Source organism: Homo sapiens, chromosome 1 (assembly GCF_000001405.40).
Source record: "Homo sapiens chromosome 1, GRCh38.p14 Primary Assembly".
Lineage (NCBI taxonomy): Eukaryota > Metazoa > Chordata > Mammalia > Primates > Hominidae > Homo > Homo sapiens.
In genome coordinates this window covers 245,083,760-245,105,476 of record NC_000001.11, presented here as the reverse complement: position 1 = coordinate 245,105,476, position 21,717 = coordinate 245,083,760, and the positions used below count along the sequence as shown (strand labels likewise).

The 21,717-nt window shown below is 44.3% G+C and overlaps 1 protein-coding gene across 21 annotated transcripts in view, besides 3 other annotated features; it reads right to left on the bottom strand.

Moving 5' to 3' along the window:
* DRC8 (dynein regulatory complex subunit 8) overlaps positions 1 to 21,717 on the bottom strand; it is a 155,548-nt gene that overhangs the window by 19,753 nt on the left and 114,078 nt on the right. For 7 of the 21 annotated variants that reach the window (XM_011544301.2, NM_032328.4, XM_047432064.1 and 4 more), the window contains one exon: positions 17,640 to 18,232. The exons of 7 other annotated variants lie outside the window; for them this stretch is intronic. In XM_011544301.2, the coding sequence (XP_011542603.1) occupies positions 18,117 to 18,232 (116 nt within the window). In that variant the 3' untranslated portion in view covers positions 17,640 to 18,116. Of the gene's footprint in view, positions 1 to 13,682; positions 14,451 to 15,034; positions 21,538 to 21,717 lie in introns of those variants that run through there. 7 more of the 21 variants (XM_017002543.2, XM_047432066.1, XM_047432071.1 and 4 more) reach the window with 3 other exon arrangements.
* Positions 5,471 to 5,980: an enhancer, noted in NCBI's record as "H3K4me1 hESC enhancer chr1:245262799-245263308 (GRCh37/hg19 assembly coordinates)". NCBI's record gives its function as "activates a minimal SCP1, AML or CMV promoter by ChIP-STARR-seq in primed H9 embryonic stem cells {active_cell/tissue: H9 hESC(primed)}" and the evidence as "EXISTENCE:reporter gene assay evidence [ECO:0000049][PMID:30033119]".
* Positions 5,981 to 6,490: an enhancer, noted in NCBI's record as "H3K4me1 hESC enhancer chr1:245262289-245262798 (GRCh37/hg19 assembly coordinates)". NCBI's record gives its function as "activates a minimal SCP1, AML or CMV promoter by ChIP-STARR-seq in primed H9 embryonic stem cells {active_cell/tissue: H9 hESC(primed)}" and the evidence as "EXISTENCE:reporter gene assay evidence [ECO:0000049][PMID:30033119]".
* Positions 19,167 to 20,366: an enhancer, noted in NCBI's record as "CDK7 strongly-dependent group 2 enhancer chr1:245248413-245249612 (GRCh37/hg19 assembly coordinates)". NCBI's record gives its function as "activates an origin of replication core promoter dependent on BRD2, BRD4, P300/CBP, MED14 and CDK7 cofactors, with strong dependence on CDK7, by STARR-seq in HCT116 cells {active_cell/tissue: HCT116}" and the evidence as "EXISTENCE:reporter gene assay evidence [ECO:0000049][PMID:35650434]".

The following is a 21,717-nucleotide window of genomic DNA, read 5'->3' as shown; positions in this document are numbered from 1 at the left end:
TGGCTAATTTTTCTATTTTTAGTAGAGATGGGCTTTCTCCATGTTGCCCAGGCTGGTCTTCAGAAAATTATCTTTAATAGAGGAATTCCACTGCATAAATGAAGAAGGAATGATAGAATCTTTTTAAAAAAAAATCACCATTTTGCAACTCCTACTAAAATAATGTTAATGGCAACCATTAGGTGACAGGTTGATGGAGAGCTTCATACAGCCTAGATCAGGCTGACAGCTACTGAGTATGAGGAGTGACAAAAAGAGACAATCCAGACATTATGTTACCTCCTGAAGGAAGGCAATAAAAATTCACCACTTCCAATGAAGTTGATTTGCAAGGAAAGAAAAAACAAAAACAAAACTGAACTTGACATTGATCGAGCCTCTAGATATAAAAATTGGTCTACGGGAAATACAGGGAATAGAGGGACGTGTTAAACACAACCACAGAAATGCAATCGGACAAGTCCAACGTGCGGACAATTCTACAGGACCAAAGACCAGGCTCTTCAACAAATGAAAGACAAGAACAAAAGGGGAGGGAAAGTTAAAGATTTAGATACGCATCAACCAAATGCAACACGAGGACCTTGTTTGGATCCTGATTGGAATAAACCAATGGTAAAAGCATATTTATGAGACAAGAGCGGAAATTTGAAAGTATTGCATATCGGACATTACAGAATTATTGTTAGCTTTTTAAGATATGATCGTGGTTTAATGGTTGTGTGGGGAAAAGGGGAAGGAGGTCCTTATCTCTACCTTTTCTGGTAAAGATAACATCAAAGCATTTATAGGTGAAATGATGTGATGTCTAGAATTTGTTTTGAAATAACGAGCAGGGGTGAGGATGGAGGTGAGGGAAACTGTTGAGGGAGAATAGGTGAAGCAAGATTGGCCATATGTTAATGGCAATGCCTAATAAATACACGGGGGTCCATTTAGCCTATTCTTTTTTCTTTTCTTTTTTTTTTTTTTTATGACAGAGTCTCGATCTGTCCCCCAGGCTGGAGTGCAGTGGCGCAATCTCCGCTCACTGGAACCTCCGCCTCCCAGGTTCAAGTGATTCTCCTGCCTCAGCTGCCCGAGTAGCTGGGATTACAGGCATGCGCCACCACACCCGGCTGCTCTTTGTATTTTTAGTAGAGACGAGGTTTTGCCATGTTGGTCAGGCTGTTCTCAAACTCCTAACCTCAGGTGATCTGCCCGCCTGGGCCTCCCAAGGTGCTGGGATTACAGGCCTGAGCCACCACACCCGGCCCATTGATCCTACTCTTTAAGGGTTAACATTTCTTAATAGAAAGTCCTTTTTTAATCACCTATGCTGGTGATCAGTGTCTTGCAAAACCAGCTGCACAATAACCTCAGTTTGGTTGTGCTCCATCCACAGGCTCTTCTCCTATATCCCCACATCCCCATCAAAGTGAGCACCTCTTCTTATTTCCACTGTCCCAGGAAAGAAAGTTTGAACCACCCAGTCATTGTCGCTGGCTCGGCGTATTCCGTCTGCAACTTCCCCGCCTCTTTTTACTCTGTCTTATCCCTAAGCCCACTCTCCCTTCTTAGGATCTTGTTTACAGATTTTAGACCGAGAATGGGCCTTCTTTTGTCATCACCTTCTCACCAGTTTCCAGCCATAGCCCACTCCACAAGCAGCCACTCTTCCTCTCCCCACCTTTTCTTTAGTGGATCCAGTGCTTGGTACTAGGAAGCTCTGAGTCAAGCAGTGCTTCCCAGACCACCCTCCTCCGGTCCCCTCTCCTGACCACAGAGGACCACCTCTGATCCTCGTCAGCCTCACAGGGTGGAGGACTGAAATAAACAATGCTTGGCCTCTCTGGTCCCCCCTCCTGACCATAGAGGACCACCTCTGATCCTCCTCAGCCTCACAGGGTGGAGGACTGAAATAAACAATGCTTGGCCTCTCTGGTCTCCCTCCTGACCATAGAGGACCACCTCTGATCCTCCTCAGCCTCACAGGGTGGAGGACTGAAATAAACAATGCTTGGCCTCTCTGGTCCCCCCTCCTGACCATAGAGGACCACCTCTGATCCTCCTCAGCCTCACAGGGTGGAGGACTGAAATAAACAATGCTTGGCCTCTCTGGTCTCCCTCCTGACCATAGAGGACCACCTCTGATCCTCCTCAGCCTCACAGGGTGGAGGACTGAAATAAACAATGCTTGGCCTCTCTGGTCCCCCCTCCTGACCATAGAGGACCACCTCTGATCCTCCTCAGCCTCACAGGGTGGAGGACTGAAATAAACAATGCTTGGCCTCTCTGGTCTCCCTCCTGACCATAGAGGACCACCTCTGATCCTCGTCAGCCTCACAGGGTGGAGGACTGAAATAAACAATGCTTGGCCTCTCTGGTCTCCCTCCTGACCATAGAGGACCACCTCTCATCCTCGTCAGCCTCACAGGGTGGAGGACTGAAATAAACAATGCTTGGCCTCTCTGGTCCCCCCTCCTGACCATAGAGGACCACCTCTCATCCTCCTCAGCCTCACAGGGTGGAGGACTGAAATAAACAATGCTTGGCCTCTCTGGTCCCCCCTCCTGACCATAGAGGACCACCTCTCATCCTCGTCAGCCTCACAGGGTGGAGGACTGAAATAAACAATGCTGGGCCTCTCCAGCTGGTTACTTGTTCTTTCCCTTATGAGGAAGACATCTGATTGGATGTGTGAAGCTTTGCTTTTACCACATTTTATCACTTTTCGAAAGTCTGTATTGGACCTGCCTCCTACTCTGTTTTGTATGTTTTTTGTTCTCCCAACAAATGGGAATTTAAGGCAAATCTATAAGTACTCCTGCCACTGGGATTTAAAAGTGGCCGGGTGCAGTGGCTGACGCCTGTAATCCCAGCACTTTGGGAGGCCAAGGCGGGTGGATCACCTGAGGTCAGGAGTTTGAGACCAGCCTGGCCATCATGGCGAAACCCCGTCTCTACTAAAGATACAAAAACTAGCCAGGAGTGCTAGTGCATGCCTGGAGTCCCAACTACTTGGGAGGCTGAGGCAGGAGGATCGCTTGAACCTAGGAGGTGGAGGCTGCAGTGAGCTGAGATCACATAATTCCACTCCAGCCTGGGCGACAGAATGAGACTCCATCTCAAAAATAAATAAATAAATAAATAAATAAATAAATAAAGTTCCTAATGACACTGATTATTACAATGGATTCAGAGGTTCTGTACACATCGTTTTCCCCACAGGTGAATCCTGTCTTGATTTGAGAACTAGTAGGACCACAGTTTGGCCTCAGGCTCCAGACGCATTCTCCAATCTAGCTTGTAGAATCAGGAGATATTAGGCTGCTCATAAAGTGTCCCAGAGATTTCTGTGGTCTCCATTTAACCAGTGAGTTGTGTGTCTGTGCACTATTGTGTAGAAGCACGGTGCAAAAGCAAGTAAAATGATCTGTAAATCTCTAACACAAACCAAACTCTTCCTCTACTTATTGCCTAATAACACATCATTAGCAAAAACCCACTGTTGGCCCTGATCTCGTGTCACAAAAGATTGATAACGTCATTGGAAACCAATAGGTACAAGATGAACCTAAATCGTCTTATGCCATATATCCAGGAAGCTTTTAGAATCCAACCTGAAGCAGCTCCCACTGTTCAAAAATGGGATACTGTGAACATCAATAAGAATAATGACGACAATGGATTGAAATATACCAAATATTCATGACTTTATTATAATACTAAAAAGCAAAAAATACTTGATATAAATATATTAAATTATCACATGTACCCTGAAAGCATGTACATCTATTATGTATCAATTTTAAAAAATAATTTTAAAAACTACTTGGTTGCTGTTAAGGAATATTGAGAAACCTTGAAAATATTGAAAACTGATAAAGGAAAATACTTATAAATCAAGGAAATACTAGTAAATGAAGAATGATAGAATTAGATTATCACCATTTTGCAGTCCATAATGTATTAATATAGACCTAGTGTTCATCAACAATAGTACTGACGTCATAGAGAGACAATCAGATATCATGTACTTCCTGATAGAAGGATACAACACCTGTAAAGTAATCTGGTCCCGCCAAATCAAACCTGAATTTGCTCTAGATCCAATTGCCAATTTATCAAGTAGAGAAGACAGACAAATACATTAATTATATATACCATGATGATGCAACCAGCAAAACCAGGATGTGGGAAATTCTACAGGACAAACAAGTTGGTTCCTCCAATAATTAAACTGCAAGGATAAAAGAAAGATTGGGAGTAAAAACTACACATTAAAAGAAACTTTAAAAACATGTTAGCCAGGCCAGGCGCCGTGGCTCATGCCTGTAATCCCAGCGCTTTGGGAGGCCGAGGCAGGTGGATCACCTGAGGTCAGGAGTTCGAGACCAGCCTGGCCAACATGGTGAAACCCCATCTCTGCTAAAAATACAAAAGTTAGTCGGGCGTGGTGGTGGGTGCCTGTAATCCCAGCAACTTGGGAGGCTGAGGCAGGAGAATCGCTGGAACCCGGGAGGCGGAGGTTGCAGTGAGCCAAGATTGCGCCATTGCACTCCAGCCTGGGTGACAGAGCAAAATTCCATCTCAAAAAACAAACAAACAAAAAACCCATGTTAGCCAATCACAAGATTCACAGTTTGAATCTTGACTCCTAATTCAAACTGTGAAGTATTTATTATTATTATTATTATTATTATTTATTTTGTTGAGACAGGGTCTCACTCTATTGCCCAGGCTGGAGTGCAGTAGACCGATCACTGTTCACTGCAGCCTCAACCTCCCAAGGATCAGGTGATCCTCCTGACTCAGCCCCCTGAGTAGCTGGGACTACAGGCGTGCACCACCACACCTGGCTAATTTTTGTATTTTTGGTAGAGACAGGGTTTCACCATGTTGCCCAGGCTGGTCTCGAACTCCTGAGCTGAGGCAATCCACCAGCCTCAGCCTCTCAAAGTGCTGAGATTACAGGCATAAGCCACTGTGCCAGGCCTCTGTATAGTATTTTTTTAAGGTCATTTATTCATTTACGGGAAAACTGATCTTTTCGACACTGGATATATGATAACATTAAACAATTATTATTATTATTATTACTACTACTTTTGAGATGGAGTCTCACTCTGTCACCCAGGCTGGAGTGCAGTGGCATGATCTTGGCTCACTGCAACCTCCGCCTCCGGGGTTCAAGCAATTCTCCTGTCTCAGCATCCCGAGTAGCTGGGACCACAGGCACATGCCGCTATGTCCAGCTAATTTTTGTATTTTTAGTAGAGACTGGGTTTCACCATATTGGTCAGGCTGGTCTCGAACTCCTGACCTCAGGTGATCCACCCGCCTCGGCCTCCCAAAGTGCTGGGATTACAGGCGTGAGCCACCGTGCCCGGCCAAACCATCATTATTTTAAAGGGACGATTATAGTATTATAGGTAATTTTTAAGAGCCTTTATTTTTAAGTATCTTTTAAATATACCTACTGAAAAAAATTATGAATAAAATAAAATAATGCCTTACATTTGCTTCAAAATTATGAGGGAGGTGACCTCTGGAGATGGGGACAGGATTGGCCTCGAGTTGATGGCCGGCGGGGAGGGTGATGTTACATGGAGATACACTGTACCATTGTCTACTAACTCTCTATAGTAAAACATTTTACAAAAACGTGTATTGTAGCTTAAAAATGGGAGATTCCTCTCTGCCTGGCAGGATGATTTATGGAGTTACTATTTTTTGTTTTTTCCTTCTGCTGTTAAAAGAGAAAAAAATAAGTCATCCTTCCTCACATCGTCTTCTCACCACCCCCTCAAGCGATCAGCGTGTGCTTTGAGTCCCACAGAACTGGGGCTTCACTTGCAAACGGGGCAGAATTAATAGGCCTTTGTTTTCAGAAAGGCTTTGCATGAACAAACAGCTGAACTGTCTGGAGAGAGCAGGTAGGGTCTCTGGGCCAGGAATGGGAAGGCTGTTGACAGGGCCTGTGGCCTGTGGCCTGGTGTCGGGGCAGGGCGGGGCTGCGTCCCAGCATCAGAAGGGTGGGCAGGGCTGGTGGCTGTGCTGTTGGCTGGCGGGCAAACTGGAGGGAAGAACTTCCCTTGTCCTAGGGTCTGGCTGTCACTCAGCTTTCTCTCCTCTAGTCTCACTATGGGCTTTTGCCAAACGTCATGTCGATATAGTCCCTTCAACAATCTGTTGAAAAAGCCCCCCCTTGAGAGAACTGCTCAAGCTTCTCACTGGTTTCCTCACAAGGGTCATTCCAGTTTCCGGAGCAGTGGACTGGGGAGGGGACAGGGCTGCTCAGGCGATGATGTAGGTGACGGAGCCAGTTTTGGTGTTCAACAGTTGTCATGTTCTTGGTCCGTATTGTTAGGTTTCAGAGGCACCACATAAACCCCCAGGCCTCCTCTTATTATGACTGGCCAGTAAGGGACTGGAGTCACACTTGATTTAGAAAAAATGAAACGGTGTTTCTGGGACAAGGGTGTGATGGTTGCATTTCACACCTGAGGATCACATGTTGCCCGTTCATTCTTTTCTGATAGTTTAAAATTAAGAACCCCAGTGCCTCTGCAGTTACCTTTAGGCACACCATTTTTGTGAAGGGCTTACTTTCGACAGCCGCCACACGGGCTCCGCTGGATCGAACTCCGTTCAGTTCTGCAGTCAGAACAATGGCAGTCAGGCCCGGCCTTGACCCCCGGCCTCCCTACTCAGAGAAGAATGGTCCTCAGGACTGAAGGTCACAAGAATTTCAGAGACACTGAGAAACCACAGCATCAGGACAGTTCACTCGGACTGTGATGAGAAGGGATATTCGTAGATTTCAAAGCAACTGAAAAACGCGGCGCTACCACTGGGTTGCACACAAAATACACTAGAATTTTCTAGTCTATGTGAGTCCAGCTTGCCTCAGGGACTCCGAAGGACACTGAAGAGAAACAACTGGGTGATGGAGGCCCTGGGGACACAGGATGGGGGACGGAATAGGACCTGGGATTGCCCTGATACTATGTTTGCCTTGTATCTTTTGCTGATCTTTCTCCTTCCCTATCTCTAACTTTGGGTTGCCCCCAGGTTCAGCCCTCGGAGCCCTTCTCTTCCCTACTCACCCTCCCTCTTTAGGGGATCCCATCCAGCCCCACGGTTTTAAACATCTTCGGTGCACTGACCACTCCAACCCCAGGCTCTCCGGAGCTCCAGACTTATATAGACAGCCTGGATGTCTGGTTGGCTTCTCAGTGGGAACACGTCTCAAACCACACTCTCGATCTTCCCCCTCAACCTTAACGAATAGTATGTCGTTGCTGAGACCTAAACCTTGTGATCATTCTTGGTGTCTTTTTCTCTACTTCCATCCCATCCACTGGGAAATCCTGTTGCTTCTACCTTCCAAATAGATCCCAAATCCAACCGCCTTTCACTATCCACCATTATCTCCCCGGCCTGAGACACCATCTCCCTGGTAATGTCCCCTAACTGGCTCAGCACCATTCAATGGCATCTCTTCTTCTCTCCACATTTAGCTCCAAATCCTTTCCTGGCCCACAAGGCCCTTCATGCTCGGGGCCCTGCCCACCTCTCCGTCCTCATCTGCTTCTCTCTCTTCACTCAGGCCACAAAGGCCTGGGGTGCTCCTTGCTGATCCTGCTGGCTGCCAAACACGTGGTGCTTGATGTTCCTCTACAAGGAATGCCCTTTCCCCATGCCCCTTCATTTCCTTCAGGCCACTGCTCAAGATCCCCTCCTTAGAGGGGACTTCCATGTCATTCTAGATAGGACAGTACCCCATCACTCTCACCCCTTATCCTGCTTCATTTTTCTTCATAGTGTTAATCCCGACATGACATATGTTTATTGATGTATTATCTGCCTCCTACTGTCAACCTCACAGCCAGAATTCAAGTTCCTTAAGGACAGGGACTTTGTTTTGTTTGCTAGCGCTGTTTCTTTTCTTTCTTTCTTTCTTTTTTTTTTTTTGAGAGGGAATCTTGCTTTGTCTCCCAGGCTGGAGTACAGTGGCATAATCTCAGCTCACTGCAGCCTCTGCCTCCTGGGTTGAAGCAATTCTCCTGCCTCAGCCTTCCAAGTAGCTGGGACTACAGGCGCCCGCCACCATGCCCAGCTAATTTTTGCATTTTTAGAGATGGGGTTTTGCCATGTTGCCCAAGCTGGTCTCGAACTCCTGACCTCAAGTGATCCACCCACCTTGGCCTCCCAAAGTGCTAGGATTACAGGCGTGAGCCACCACACCCGACCAGTTTACTAGAATTGTTTCTAGCATAGAATATCACTAATTAAATATTTTATTGAATGAATGAAGTTAAAATGACATGTACACCCTTTCCATGAAGTCCCTGAGGTCACAAGTTTAGGAAAATGGACTTCCCTACTCCCGGACATCCTATAAATACCTGTACCCAACCTCGTTATATAATTGAAGATATTTACTATATAGAGAAAATATTTATATTCATTCATTCAGCAGATATTTACTGAACACTTTGTAATGACAGATACCACTTACTAAGCCCTGTGTGCAGACAGCCCATCATGCTCAGAGTAAGCCTACAAGGTAGCTATGATTTCTGTCACTTACAGATGGGCAACAGAGGACAGACACATCACGTGACTTTCCCCAGGTCACATATCCTATACCTGACACAGCTGGAATTCAGCACTCTTTTCCCTAAGCCATGCTATTAAAAAGCTACTTCAGCATTAGCCTCAAGCCATCTCATTCTAGAACATTCTCACCCCCCAGTATTGGCAGCAGAATTGCCAATGTGAACACATAAAACATTTGCAGTTCATCCTGCCACTTCCTCTATGAAGTCCTCTGTGAGTCCCACAGGCAGAGCCAGCTGCTGTCATTGACCCCAATGCACTTTGCTAACATTGCTGAACAACTCTTGCTCAGTGTCATTATTGGTCTTCCTGTCTCTCCCATGAGGCTGAAATCTCTCAAGGACAAGGGCTATGTTTCATACTCATTTTGGCATCTCTGGTACCCAGCACAGTGTCTGGCACATGGTGAGAATCCAATGAATGCTGACTGAATGAGCAAATGAATTGCATTAGGAAACACTGTCACAGCCTAAGAAGCTGGCATTTTGGTGTGAGCGCGGGAGGCCAGTTGGCCCCTCGTCCCGCCTGTGTTGGACATTCTTCACTTCTTTTGCAGGCTTATTTCCCCAGTTCCTATTTTGTTGCTTGAATATTTGTGCATTTCCTGCTAAGTCTACTGTGCAATAGTGGCTCATTCTAATTGCCTCCTGCAAATAATATTTGTTCTGAAAGAAACTGTGTCTCTGGAATTCAGATTCTGTCTGTCATGTTGTGCTTTGTGGGCTCCATTTCATAGCAGCCGAGGGGTTTGTTGTTTCTATCTGAAAAAACAATCTGTGAGGCTCCAATTTGGTGCTTCCTGGAGCTAATCCAATTGAATCTTTCAGTACATTGCTGTGGGCCTTTAGAAAGCTCCACTTATCAATGGAATGCAAATTTTTAAAAGATCAATGAGATACTATTTTTCCCTATCTAATTGCAAAATAAAAAGCAAAAATATGCTGAGGAGGGTTTAGAATGTGGGAACAATCTTTCTGCAGGACAGATTGAAAACACATTAGCAAAAGACTTAAAAATAGGTCCCCATCACTTTAAAGGTGACCCAACAGTTCTGCTTTTCGGAATGTATTCTAAGTGAACAATTAAATTAAGATTTAACTACTAGGATATTGGTCACAATTTATTATAATAGTGAAAACTGAAAATTATTTAAATTATGAAGTATGAGGAACTAATTAAATAGGCCAGGTGTGGTGGCTCTAATCCCGGTTCTTTGGGAGGCCAAGGTGGGAGGATTGCTTGAGGCCAGGAGTTCGAGGCTGGAGTGAGCTATGATCGTGCCTCTGCACTCCAGCCAGGGTGACACAGTGAGACCTGTCTCTAAATTAATTAATTAATTAAGGTATCTCCAAACAATAAGATACTATCCAGTCACTCAAAGTTATGTTTTAGGTGAGTACACACTATCATGGAAAGATTGTTCCTTATGTATTCATTTAAAATAGCAGATTACATAATAGCATATATGGTCTGATCCTGTAGTATTGTCGTGTTTATTATTTATTTATTTCTCTTCCCCAATAGTACCCTGATTTCTCACCAGAGTATTTTCTCCCTCCAGCGGGGTGTAGCTGGTGGTTGGAGGATTCCTGCCTTCCACATGGCTGCCTAGAAGCAAGGTCCTTCCTTGCCTGCCCAGGCCAGACGGAGCTCAGCTCAGTGGGCTGTGTCTTGCAGGCCTTGAACCTGAGCCAGTGCAAAGCCATCCCCTGCAGCAGCGGCCCTGCACGGGCTGTTCCGGTTGTGTGATGTTTGCTATCCTCTTGCACCATGCTTCCTTGCCCTCAGATGCCCCCTTGGCTCCTGTTGGCCTGAGCCTGGTGCCCCAGTCTCCAGTAGGCTCTGTGAGCACTCTTTCCTCAGCCCAGGTGCCTTCCAGTGAGTCCTGCTTTCTGTCCTTATGGTCAAGGACCCTAACTGATAGGTTCCACAGTGATATTATTCTAAAGAAGTTCTATAGAGAGACACATCCTTGGAAAAAGCTTTCAGAAGAGATGAAGCAAAGCATTAGTAATGGTGGTTAACTTCTGTGGAATTAAGGGGTTTTCCTCTTCTTTTTTGTTTACTGGCATTTTCCAATTTCTCTTTATTGCTTGGGAGCCACTCTAGTAATTTTTAGAGTATTTTACACTTTACATTGTTTTTCCAAAAGAGCCCTTCCTGAGAAGATTCTCTAACGTAGCCATCTCACAGTGAGGTGCCCCTGCAGGGAACGCAAGATAACTCCTCAGGGTGCAGGAAGAAAACCAGGATTTGTTTTAATTTATATTTATGTTCTGTGTTAGAGTTAAATCTCATTGACATCTTCCTGGGGTCCATACAGCAGAAATGCATGTACCAGGAATGCACGTATCAGGAAGGCAGGCGGCTGTCCTGAAGGAAGCTCGGGGAGCCTTCGCTCGTGTACTCATTCCACCTTGCTTATTTCCGTGCAATCACTAACCGTACAGGTGGCCAACTGAGTGAAGGATTTGCAGATGTTATTTGGTTTTAATGACACCAGTCCTCAAAAACTGATAAGAGGCTTAAAAAGTTCCTAAAAAGTAACCTCGAATTGAAGATATCCCAACACCTAAGCACAGGGGGGTTTTCCGAGAACAGTGGGGCCGACAATTCCACCAGGATGAGCTCTTCATCATGTTGTGTAAGAACAAAGACAGGCTAATCGGATTTGATAAAGAAGAACTAAGAAAACTTAAACATTATCAAGACTAGTTGGAAAATAGACTTACCTCTATTCTCATTAACAGTGAGCTTTGCCTAAGTGCGGATCATACCTTGAGTTAGTAACCAGGAATGGTTACCAGCCAGCAAGACAGTTTAAAACTAGGCATTCAGAGCATGGAAACACATCTTGACATGTTTAAAAGCTGTATTTAAAGTCATGCAATACTCACCTATACTTCAGTACATTTCCTAAGTTTGGTGATAAATGCTTAGAAGCCTCTTTTGAGATTTCTTACTAATAGCTGAAAACTTAATGCCGGGGCGTGTGGGGGGAGCCAGCAAGATATATTTGGCATTTTGACCTGCCACACATATAAAACCATGGCCCGATTTTCATAGTGTGCTATTTTATCTTATCTCCTTCTCCACAGAACTAGGTTTGGCCTCAATTTTTCAACTTGTGATTTTTCTTTTCTTTTCTTTTTCTTTCTTTTTTTTTTTTTTTGTGAGATGGAGTCTTGCTCTGTCGCCCAGGCTGGAGTGCAGTGGCACCATCTCGGCTCACTGCAACCTCTATCTCCCGGGTTCAAGCAATTCTCCTGCCTCAGCCTCCCGAGTAGCTGGGATTATAAGTGCACCACCACGCCTGGCTAATTTTTGTACTTTTGTGGAGACGGGGTTTCACCATGTTGCCTGGGCTGGTCTCATACTCCTGACCTTAAGTGAACCGCTCACCTCAGCCTCCCAAAGTGCTGGGATTACAGGCATGAGCCACTGTGCTTGGCCTGATTTTTCTTTTTTAAGAAAAATAACAGTTTCTTCAAATGATTAAGAGTGTTTTCTCCACTAGATGAGGTAAATAATTCCTGCTGCTCTAAAAGTACCATGACTGATAGCACATTTTTAAAAGAAGAAAAAAAGAAACCTCTTAAGGCCTCCTGTTTTCACATTCTAGAAATAAACTTAACGCCTTATAATTAATAGCACCATGACAGCAAACCTCGGCTATCTCCCCACCAGCAGCCCAGGTATGCGCACGTTCTCTCCAATTAGTTTTCTATTATTTACCTACTTCCCCACCTCCCTGTCCACACCCAGGCAGCAGATCTCCATCCCTGCCCCTCCCTCTCTCTTTTTCTCTCTCCCTCTCTGCCTAGCTGGCTTTCTGTAAATAATTATTTGTGTCATAGCTTACAGCTTTTTAAACATTTTCACTTTTATTATTTCATTTAATTTTCACACCAGCCCCGAAAAGTGTTTTTTCCACTTTACAAATTAAGATGCAGAAGCTCAGCAATATTTTTTTATTTTTTTGAGACAAGGTCTCTCTCTGTCACCCAGGCTGAGTGCAGTGGTACAATCATGGCTCACTGTAGCCTCGACCTCCGGGGAAGCTCAGCAATATTAAATGTCTGGGCCAATTACGTAATCAGTAAGCAGCAGAGCCTAACTCCAAATCCCACACTTTCATTCAATATCAGAGCCCCAGGTAGTGCTTTTTACACACAAGCGTGCATAAGGATCCCCTGAGAATATTAAAAATATAAGTTTCCTGGACCCTACCTCCAGAGATTCTGTTTCAGGGGTCTGGAATGGGGCACACCTCCCATTTCTAACACCCTCCTTCCAGATGCTCCTGAAGCAGATGATTGGCAACCATGCTTTCAGAAATAGGCAGGCCTAGGAGGCAGCCACCATGCCTGGCACCCATGAGGCTCTCCGTTTATTTAAGCAGCCCAGGAGGGTAAGGTAGTGACACTGATCTTCAAGGAACTGTCTGTATAAACAGGGTACTTTCTTACATGGAAGGATTTAGAAAAGCGAAAGGAAGGAAGACAGGAAACTAGGAGAGAGAGATCTAAACACATTCCATCCCACAGAAAATACTCCTGCCCTTAACGAACAGTCGTAATCCCAACTAGCCTGCTATCTTGGACTCTTTTTTGTCTCTTGGGCATTTGGTACTTAGACACTGGGTGACTGCAAAGGGGACTAAATCTCTGCATTGCTTCTCAGGAGGGAGAAGGACTAGAGCTGGGCTCTCTATTTTACAGACAGAGGTGCACAGGAAGTGAAGCGCCTGATCCAGAGTGAGTCACACATGAAGCTGGGATCAGAGCACAAGATCGCCAGACTCTCAGGCCTGTGTGTCGGGTCCTGAGTCATGCACCTTCCCCAGCAGTGTGAGAATAGAGATGGCTTTCCACAGGGCCCGGCCAAGCTGTGGGGTATGGCAGGCTCTGCGGAAGCCAGGAGTCATGAGGGTAAGCAAACTTCCTGCACAAGAGGCCAAGCACTCTCCTAGTCGGGAAATGGCATATGGTGACTTACATCAGATGCTGCGGGCGAGGTCAGTGAGCTGAAGAGGCAAAATACACATTGAAGTGATTTGAGTGTAAAGGAAAATGTTCCCTTTGCAAACAAGGTACGTTTATTCTGCAACTTAGGAGATAAAATGAGATTTCTGTGGGGAGTCTATGTTGTGCTTTCTGGTGGCCTTAAAAGAAACAGACAAATTTGTGCTAAAGATAAAAATGAATTACATTCCACAAAGCCAACTCTATGAGACTAAACAGAGAGGATTGCCTTGAGACAAGATGTGAAGTTGAACATCAGTCCGAACTTTTGAAAGAACCCTCGAAGGTGGGGCTGGGGAGGTAGGCAATCTCGACGCAAGCTTCCTCTACTGCCTTCTGTGCAAGAGGGTGTCTCCTCGGAGACAGAATATGATGTCATCACTTGATCATCAAGAGATTAGGGTTCATTCACCAGACTGTACTTCTTTAATGGCTTACAGGTCTTAACGCAGAGCTGTCCTGTATGCTCCAAACAAGTCCGTGCCTGGGTCGACGCACTGGGCGCTAGCACACGCCTCAGTGCTGCATGTCCGTGCTGGCCCCTGCCACCGAATGACATGCCCCTGGGTATGCGTCCACCTTGAAGGGTATTTCATATCTCAGCCATCCTCCTTCCCCGCTGCAATGTGTTCCTATCATCAACAGCCTGTCTGCTGATGTTCCGAGGATCACCACACTCCTTTCCTCCTCCGTCTCCGCCCTGTCCTGAAGGCACGCGGTTCATCCTCATCTCTGGCTGGTGATTCTAGCATGCACGGCCGAGCCAGTGGCACATCAGGTCTCTATTTGGATTTTACCTTGGGAAAATCTCAGGTTATCCTGGGGAAAAAAATGATCTTGGGAAACTAGAGAAGGAAGAAATGCCTTCCATTCTTACCACTGCTGGAATTATCTGTCAGGAAGCCTTCCAGAAGTGACGATTCCTCACCACCGTTTTTACTCACTATTTTTTGAATGGGATGACCACATATTAATCATCTAAACTGGAACATTTCTAAGAGTACAAAGGAGACCTATTAATAATTACACTGGGACAGGTATAGTCTGGAACTACCACGGGCAAAGCAGGACAGACGGTCATCCTACCTCTCTAGGCCATGAGTAGGACAAAGACACGTAGGCCAGAGTCCAGGATGACCCCAGCTGACCAAAAAAAAAAAACGTAAACAGAAATAAGCTTCATTCTTGCAAACCTCTGACACGTGGGAGTTTTGTTATCACAATATAACCTAGAAAAAGCTGATACAGCCACTTACTGCTGTGTAACTTCTTGATTGTCACCTTTCTAAAATGGGGATAACTTAATAGCACCTGCACCGATGGGTGGATGTGAGGATGAAATGAGTTCATGTACGTCAAGCACTTAGGACAGTGCCTGCAACGCAGGGAACAGTCAACAAACGTCAGCCACTCTTACTATTTATTCACATAATAACACAGGAGAAGAAAAGAAACACTCTAAGAACACATCGAAGCGAAATTTCAAGGGAAACATATTATCACTCAGGAATTATCACTCAGGCAGGAAAGACCACCCCTTGCTACCAACACCAGCCACTTGCCCTTTTAGGGCCCCGAGCCCTCTCACCCCCTCCCATCTGTCACCCACTCCTCCTACCTGTTACCCACTCCTCCTACCTGGGTCTTTCCCTCATGCGTTAGCCCCACGGACACCATCGGAACTGCTTTCTCCCAGATTCCTCGGCCTTTGATTCCTTCCACCTCACGCACATGACAAAACCTTAACCCTGGTACAACAATCTACCTTTTTCTTTTCTTTTTTGCTCCTGAGCACAAAATCTTCCAGGGTTTCTTGAAAATCCTTACATGGGCTCTTTCTCAACTCTTTCTCCCATTTCCCACAAGAGATATTCCAAAATTACACCATTCTCTTGAAACTCTATAACCTACTACCTTCCTCTCCAAAAGGCAGCAGAGGCCATGAGGTAGGGACCACAAGCGTTGGTTCATTGTTCCTAAATCTCTTTATTGCTCTGGAAGCTGGCCCCTCCCTTCACCTTCTCTGTGGGCTCTCAGCCCTTGGACTAGAAATGAACTTGCTACATCCACCCATCTTCCAAAAATCACTCCCCGAGCCTGTTGTCCGTTTCCTCCTCTTCACTGCCGAATAACTTGTCCTCCAGGCTGCAACCTTCTCACATCCATTCCTTACTCCATCCACTCAACTCCATACCCTGTTGCTTCCCCACATCTGCTGTGGGAGAGGCCCTCAATGAACTCTCCATTGCTAACACCAATGGACGTTTTTTCCGTCTTTAACTTCCCTCTCCTCTCCACTACATCTGGCATGGCCACTGCCTCCTCCTTGCAATTCTCTCCGATCTTGGCATCCAAGATGCTTCTTTCCAGCTTTCCCTCTTCTCAGGCTTCTCCTTCCCAGTCTCTTTTGTGGGCTCTTCTTCCTCTGCCTTCCCGTAAATGCTGATATCCCCCATGGTTTTGTTCTAGACTGTCTTCTCTTCTACTTTCAAGGCATTAATACTACTTACATGCTGACAGTTCCAAAATCCAGGTCTCCAGCCAGATCTCCCTCCTATATCCAATTGATTATTGAATGTCACCCTTTGGGTGTCCCAAGGTGTCTGCACCCAACCTCATCATTTTGCTTACCAAATGCCCCACTTGCTCCTTGGACTTCTTATCTGAATGAATGGCACTTTTACCCATCGTCCGAGCCAGAAACCTGGGATTCATGCTTGACTTTTCCCAGTCTATCCCCTCCCACCAACCAAATAGCCTACAAACTGGTCTCACTTCTAGTCTTGACCTTTCAAATCTATTTTCCATGCTGCTTACAAATGATCTTTCTCTGTGATCTTCAGAATAAAGTCCAAACTCTCACACTGAAACCTTAACTCAGCACCTAACCCGATATCCTTAATGATACCGCTCCTGTTTACCACTCCAATTTCACCTCTCATCATGACCCCCAAATCTCCCACATTCCAAATATACTGAGCTGCTTTCAATTCCCAGGTGGTTCCATGTTTCATGACACCTCTAGGGTTTCTGGACTTGCTGCTCACCTGCTGAAATGCCCTGTGCCCCGCCACCCACTTACTAAACTACTCGTTTTAAAGTCAGGAGCTTCCTGTCCTGGGAAGCCTTCTCCGCTCACTAGCACCTTTCATCTTCCAGAAAGCTCTCTCCCTGCAAGGCTGAGTAGCTGCCTCTCTTCGGCACTTGCACGGGACCCTGAACATGCCCCTATCTGAAATGTGGCTGCTGACTGCCTTGCAGGCTTCCCTCACTAAACTGTGACCTGGATTCGTTAGGGACTCCGGTTCCCAGCACATCATCTCATGGTACTCCTTCAGTGTTTCATGAATGAATGAACAGCGACAGTCTCTTGGGTAGCAGCCGCCTCTTTTGGGGGCAAGACTACATGCCTGAGGAAGGCTCACAGCAACTCTAAATGTTTACATCTATGTAGATACACACATATAGTGGTGAAGCCATCTTCAAATAGAGACCCGTGTGTGTGTGTGTGTGTGTGTGTGTGTGTGTGTCTTGTTATAACAGAATATCTAAGTTTGGAAAATTGTTCACTTCCCTTTACTTTATCTTCCCCTTTGCTTGTAAGTTGCCATATAGTTGCCATATAAGATGCCAAGATCGGAGAGAATTGCAAGGAGGAGGCAGTGGCCATGCCATATATTTTTCCATTGTGACTGCTTGTGCTTCATTCTGCTCTTTCAGGAGCTGTACATTTGCACACCATAACATTTCTCAGTATTCTTACTCAGTATTCAGGACAATGCTCCCATGACAGATATGCGGAGTGGGTGAGAATTCTAAAGACAAAGGGAGAATTGCCACTACCTTACACTATCAACTTCCACTCAACCTTCTTTTCTCTAGTTCCAATGATCTCAACTCCTTTAGCTACTCCATAAATGGTGACATGCTGGATCAGCAAATATAAATGTTTACACTAAGTTATTATTATCCCAAATGATATTTGTAATTGGCACTCATAAAAAAATAAATTAGTAATATTTATTTTGATAAATCACCTTCCACACTCAGATTGATGAAGCATTTGTTATTGTTTAAAAAAGAAGCCTTCATTACACTGCTACTCGTTTTCGAGTGGTTCGTTCTGCCCCCTCTTAAGATCTTTACATGCCAAACCTTGGGTAATTAAGTCATTTTCATTTTGTCAGCTTAATTAATTCGAAGGTGACCTGAGTTTTATTGTAGAAAATAAACAACAATCCATTCTAATGTTAAAATGTTTTAAGAATAGTTTTTAAATAAATAGTAATTTATCATTCTGTAAGGCTAGACATACTAAATTTGGTTTAAAGTGTTACGATCATCTTTAAAAACAAAGTGTCTTAAAATAGTTATGTCACAAGGTATTAAATATCACATATAGGAATCCTAAGATAAGATGTGAAATTAACAAGAACAAGCAATTTCTAAAATTGTTCTTTCAATCAGAAATTATCTTTAGAACATTTAATTTTCATCTATCACCATCATTGTTATATAGTCCTTGTAATTAATTGAATTTGATTCTGGATCAATTGCAGCAGACAACATTTCTTCCATTTCCTCTTGAGAAAAAGGCTCACCTCAGAGAGACAAAAAGGAAAATTTATCATTTAGGATCATCTGATTTTTTTCTCTTTCCACTAGCCAGCTTAATAGCCATGGAGCCCCACAAGCTCCCACAGTGCCACTAGTTACGCTCCCTGGAGCTGTAGAGCCAGGACATCACGACAGTCCAGAGGTTCAAAGACAAGGCTATTGTACACCCTGGTAGATTCTGGACTTCTTTTAGCCTGCAGATGTCATAGATCAAGCAACCTCTAGAACACGTCATTTCAGGCAAAACAGTAGGAAGACATACAGACATCATGAACAAGGTTATTTATTTAGATTAAAACTTTTGAAATTACCAGAGGATTAACTTGAAGCCCCAGTATTTGATGAAAGATGGAAGGAAGATAACTGAGTGGTTAAAGCACAAGTTTGGATCCACATGCTGGCTGCCTCTCACGAGCTCTGAGATCTTGAGCAAGTCACTTCACAGCTCCCCACCTTAGCTTACCTGTCTCTAGAATGGGGGTGATAACGACACCACCTGTCACATAGGGTTGTCATGAGAATGAAACGTGTTATGATTTGAATGGGACTTAGAACAGTACCTGGCATAGAAGCAGCAACATGCAAGTGTTTGTTTAAAAAATTGTTCTGAGATCTTCCCGGCTGCTAAACACTGTCTGATGCAATACACATTCCTGGACACTTAGGGACTTCTATCTTGTAGGAACTTGATTCAGTGTGATTTATTTTATCATATGACATCCAGGGCTGTAGGAATGCATATTCTCAAACTAGTGTGTTTGATACTTTGTGGATATTAGGATGAATGTGCAAGTAGCTTGAATCCATATTGTTATATAGCATAAATGTACTTAAAAACAATTTGTAGAATTCTGAGACTCTCAAAGCAGCAATTCTTAAGCTCCTATTTTACCAAACTAGTCAACTGCTATTACACTTAGCTGATGGGTCTGTTATATTAAATCGTAACTTAGATTTGTATAGATTTACATCTTACATATTACTTCCAAACATATTGGTTCATATATGTGGAAGGTTTGTAATAATACTTGCTGAGTGAATAATTGAAAACATATGTATTCTTATTTGACCATACCTGTCCTATGCTTAGTCCGCTGAGATACTCAATAGTTGATCTTTAAGTACCATGAACTCTCTGTAAACATACCATTTTCGAAATTATCACACAGCACCTCCAAGTAAACCACGTGGTCGCACTGTCTCTGTATACACTGCGGTCTGTTCTGACCTTTCTGTTTGAGTCAGTCTCATTACCATCATACTCGCCATCGAGGGCAAAGCCTTGGTGGTACTTTGGATTCAGCTCTCAGCTTTGTCGCCTACACTCTGTTACTCATCATGACCCATGGATCCTGCCACAGACAGTCCTATTGTACCAATCCCTTCTTCCCATTGCCATTCCCACTGCCAGGTCAGGCCCTTATTTGGGTGCCCTCAAAATGCTGAAATAACCTTCTAAGTGGCCTCCCTAGTCCAACCTCTTTCTTATGCATCTAACAAACCGACCAGCACCAGAAAAACCTTCTCACAATCACTCACACACCATGTGAGTCATCTGCTCAAAAGCCTGTAATACTTCTCCATCGCCCACAGGATGAATTCCAAACTCCTGAGCCTGGGACTCCACAATTTAGTCCCAGTAAGTCTACTGAAGTTAATTTCCTGCTGTTTGCCAACATTACCCTCTGGGCCAGCTAGGCTTATTTTCTCTCTGAAATAGCATGTTCATTCCTACCTCCCCATTTTTGTTCAGACTGTTTTACACATCGATAATGTCTCCCTCTCATTAGCCCCTTCACCTGGTCTTCATCATCTACTCATTCACTCATTCATTCAACAAACATTTGTTGATATCTACCATGTGTGACAGAATTATAATGCACAAGAGTTTACCTTTGCCCTCAACAATTTAACCATATACATTCTACCATCTCAAAAAACCTATTTTCTCTTTAAGTCTTCCCAAACCAAGTTTTCCAGGCTGGGCCAGCCCTAGTTGATCTTCTGATATTTAGCTTTCTATTGTCTTGTATTGTGAATTATTTTATGTTAGTTTTATTTCCCAAATAAGATTGTAATATCCTTGAGAGAGGAAGTAGATTTAAGTATCATTATACCTTACTACACTTACTAAATATTAAACATATAGTAGGCACACAACAGTAGGAAAATCTAACTGTTTGGGCCATTTTGACTAAATTCATGTTGCCTGATATATAACCTAGGATTTACTTTCTTTAGACTAATCCTCAGGATGAAGAAGCTGATGCTTTGAAAGTCGTAACATCCCCATCAGAATTAATCCCGAAGGTAATTTTAACAATGGCGTCAGAGTTCTTGGGTGGCAGCTGTGACGGCCTTGCCATTCTGACCCTCACTCTCTGTATTCCGCCTTAAGGTGGATGAAGCTGGAATGGTCAAACCAGTTGTGCGTGTAGATGCAGTCTTAGTCTTCCCTACTCAAAATCACTTGCGCTTTTCATTCTGCCTCAAGTGATTAGCAACTCTGAGTCATTCAGGACCCAGTCTGTGAACCAGAGAGCTCTAGCTTTGTATGGGAGAAGGCAAGGGGACCAATATGAGGATGGTTTCAGGAGACTGTCCATCAGGCTACTGACCTTCAGTGTAAACAAATTTACACATCAGCCTAGCAGAGAGAATTCCTAAAGGAAATATGTTGGCATATATATATAAGTGTGCAGGTTTTATGTGTGTGTATGCATATATGTATGATGGGCCATGTTCAAAACAAATATATATGGTTCAATTAACATTAAAAAAGGACATTTTTAGTGTTAAAAATGACCTCAGTATTCAATTGAGGCTACATTATCTGTAACTTCACTGACAGAAAAGCTCTTTAAAAGGGAATTTTTACCAGCACTGTGGGAAGCCAAGATGGGTGGATCACCTGAGGTCAGAAGTTCGAGACCAGCCTGGCCAACATGGTGAAACCCATCTCTACTAAAAATACAAAAAATTAGCTGGGCGCAGTGGCCTGTGCCTGTAATCCCAGCTACTCGGGAGGCTGAGGCAGGAGAATCACTTGAACCCAGGAGGCGGAGGTTGCAGTGAGCTAAGATCGCGCCACTGCACTCCAGCCTGGGTGACAGAGCAAGACCGGATCCGTCTCAAAAAAAAAAAAGCCGGGGCGCCGGGGGGGGGGCGGAATTTTTATATTCTTTATTCAAATCTTCAATCTAGGAAGAGGCCTTCATTTACAGTGATCGATAGTTCATGTTTTCCAGATGGCATATCTTTTATTCTGGAAATGCTCTGAATGCAATGCCTGAAATTATAGAAGTAATCACTGTGCTTCACAAAATTCTACGAGACAACAACCCATCTCCCCTTTCCCTACTCTTTGTCCTCTTAACCCCCACAGAACAGAAACCATCCCCAAGCCAAAATAGCAGGAACAGTAAATAACTTTCACCAGAATGACTGATTTTAAAGTATCCCCTATAAC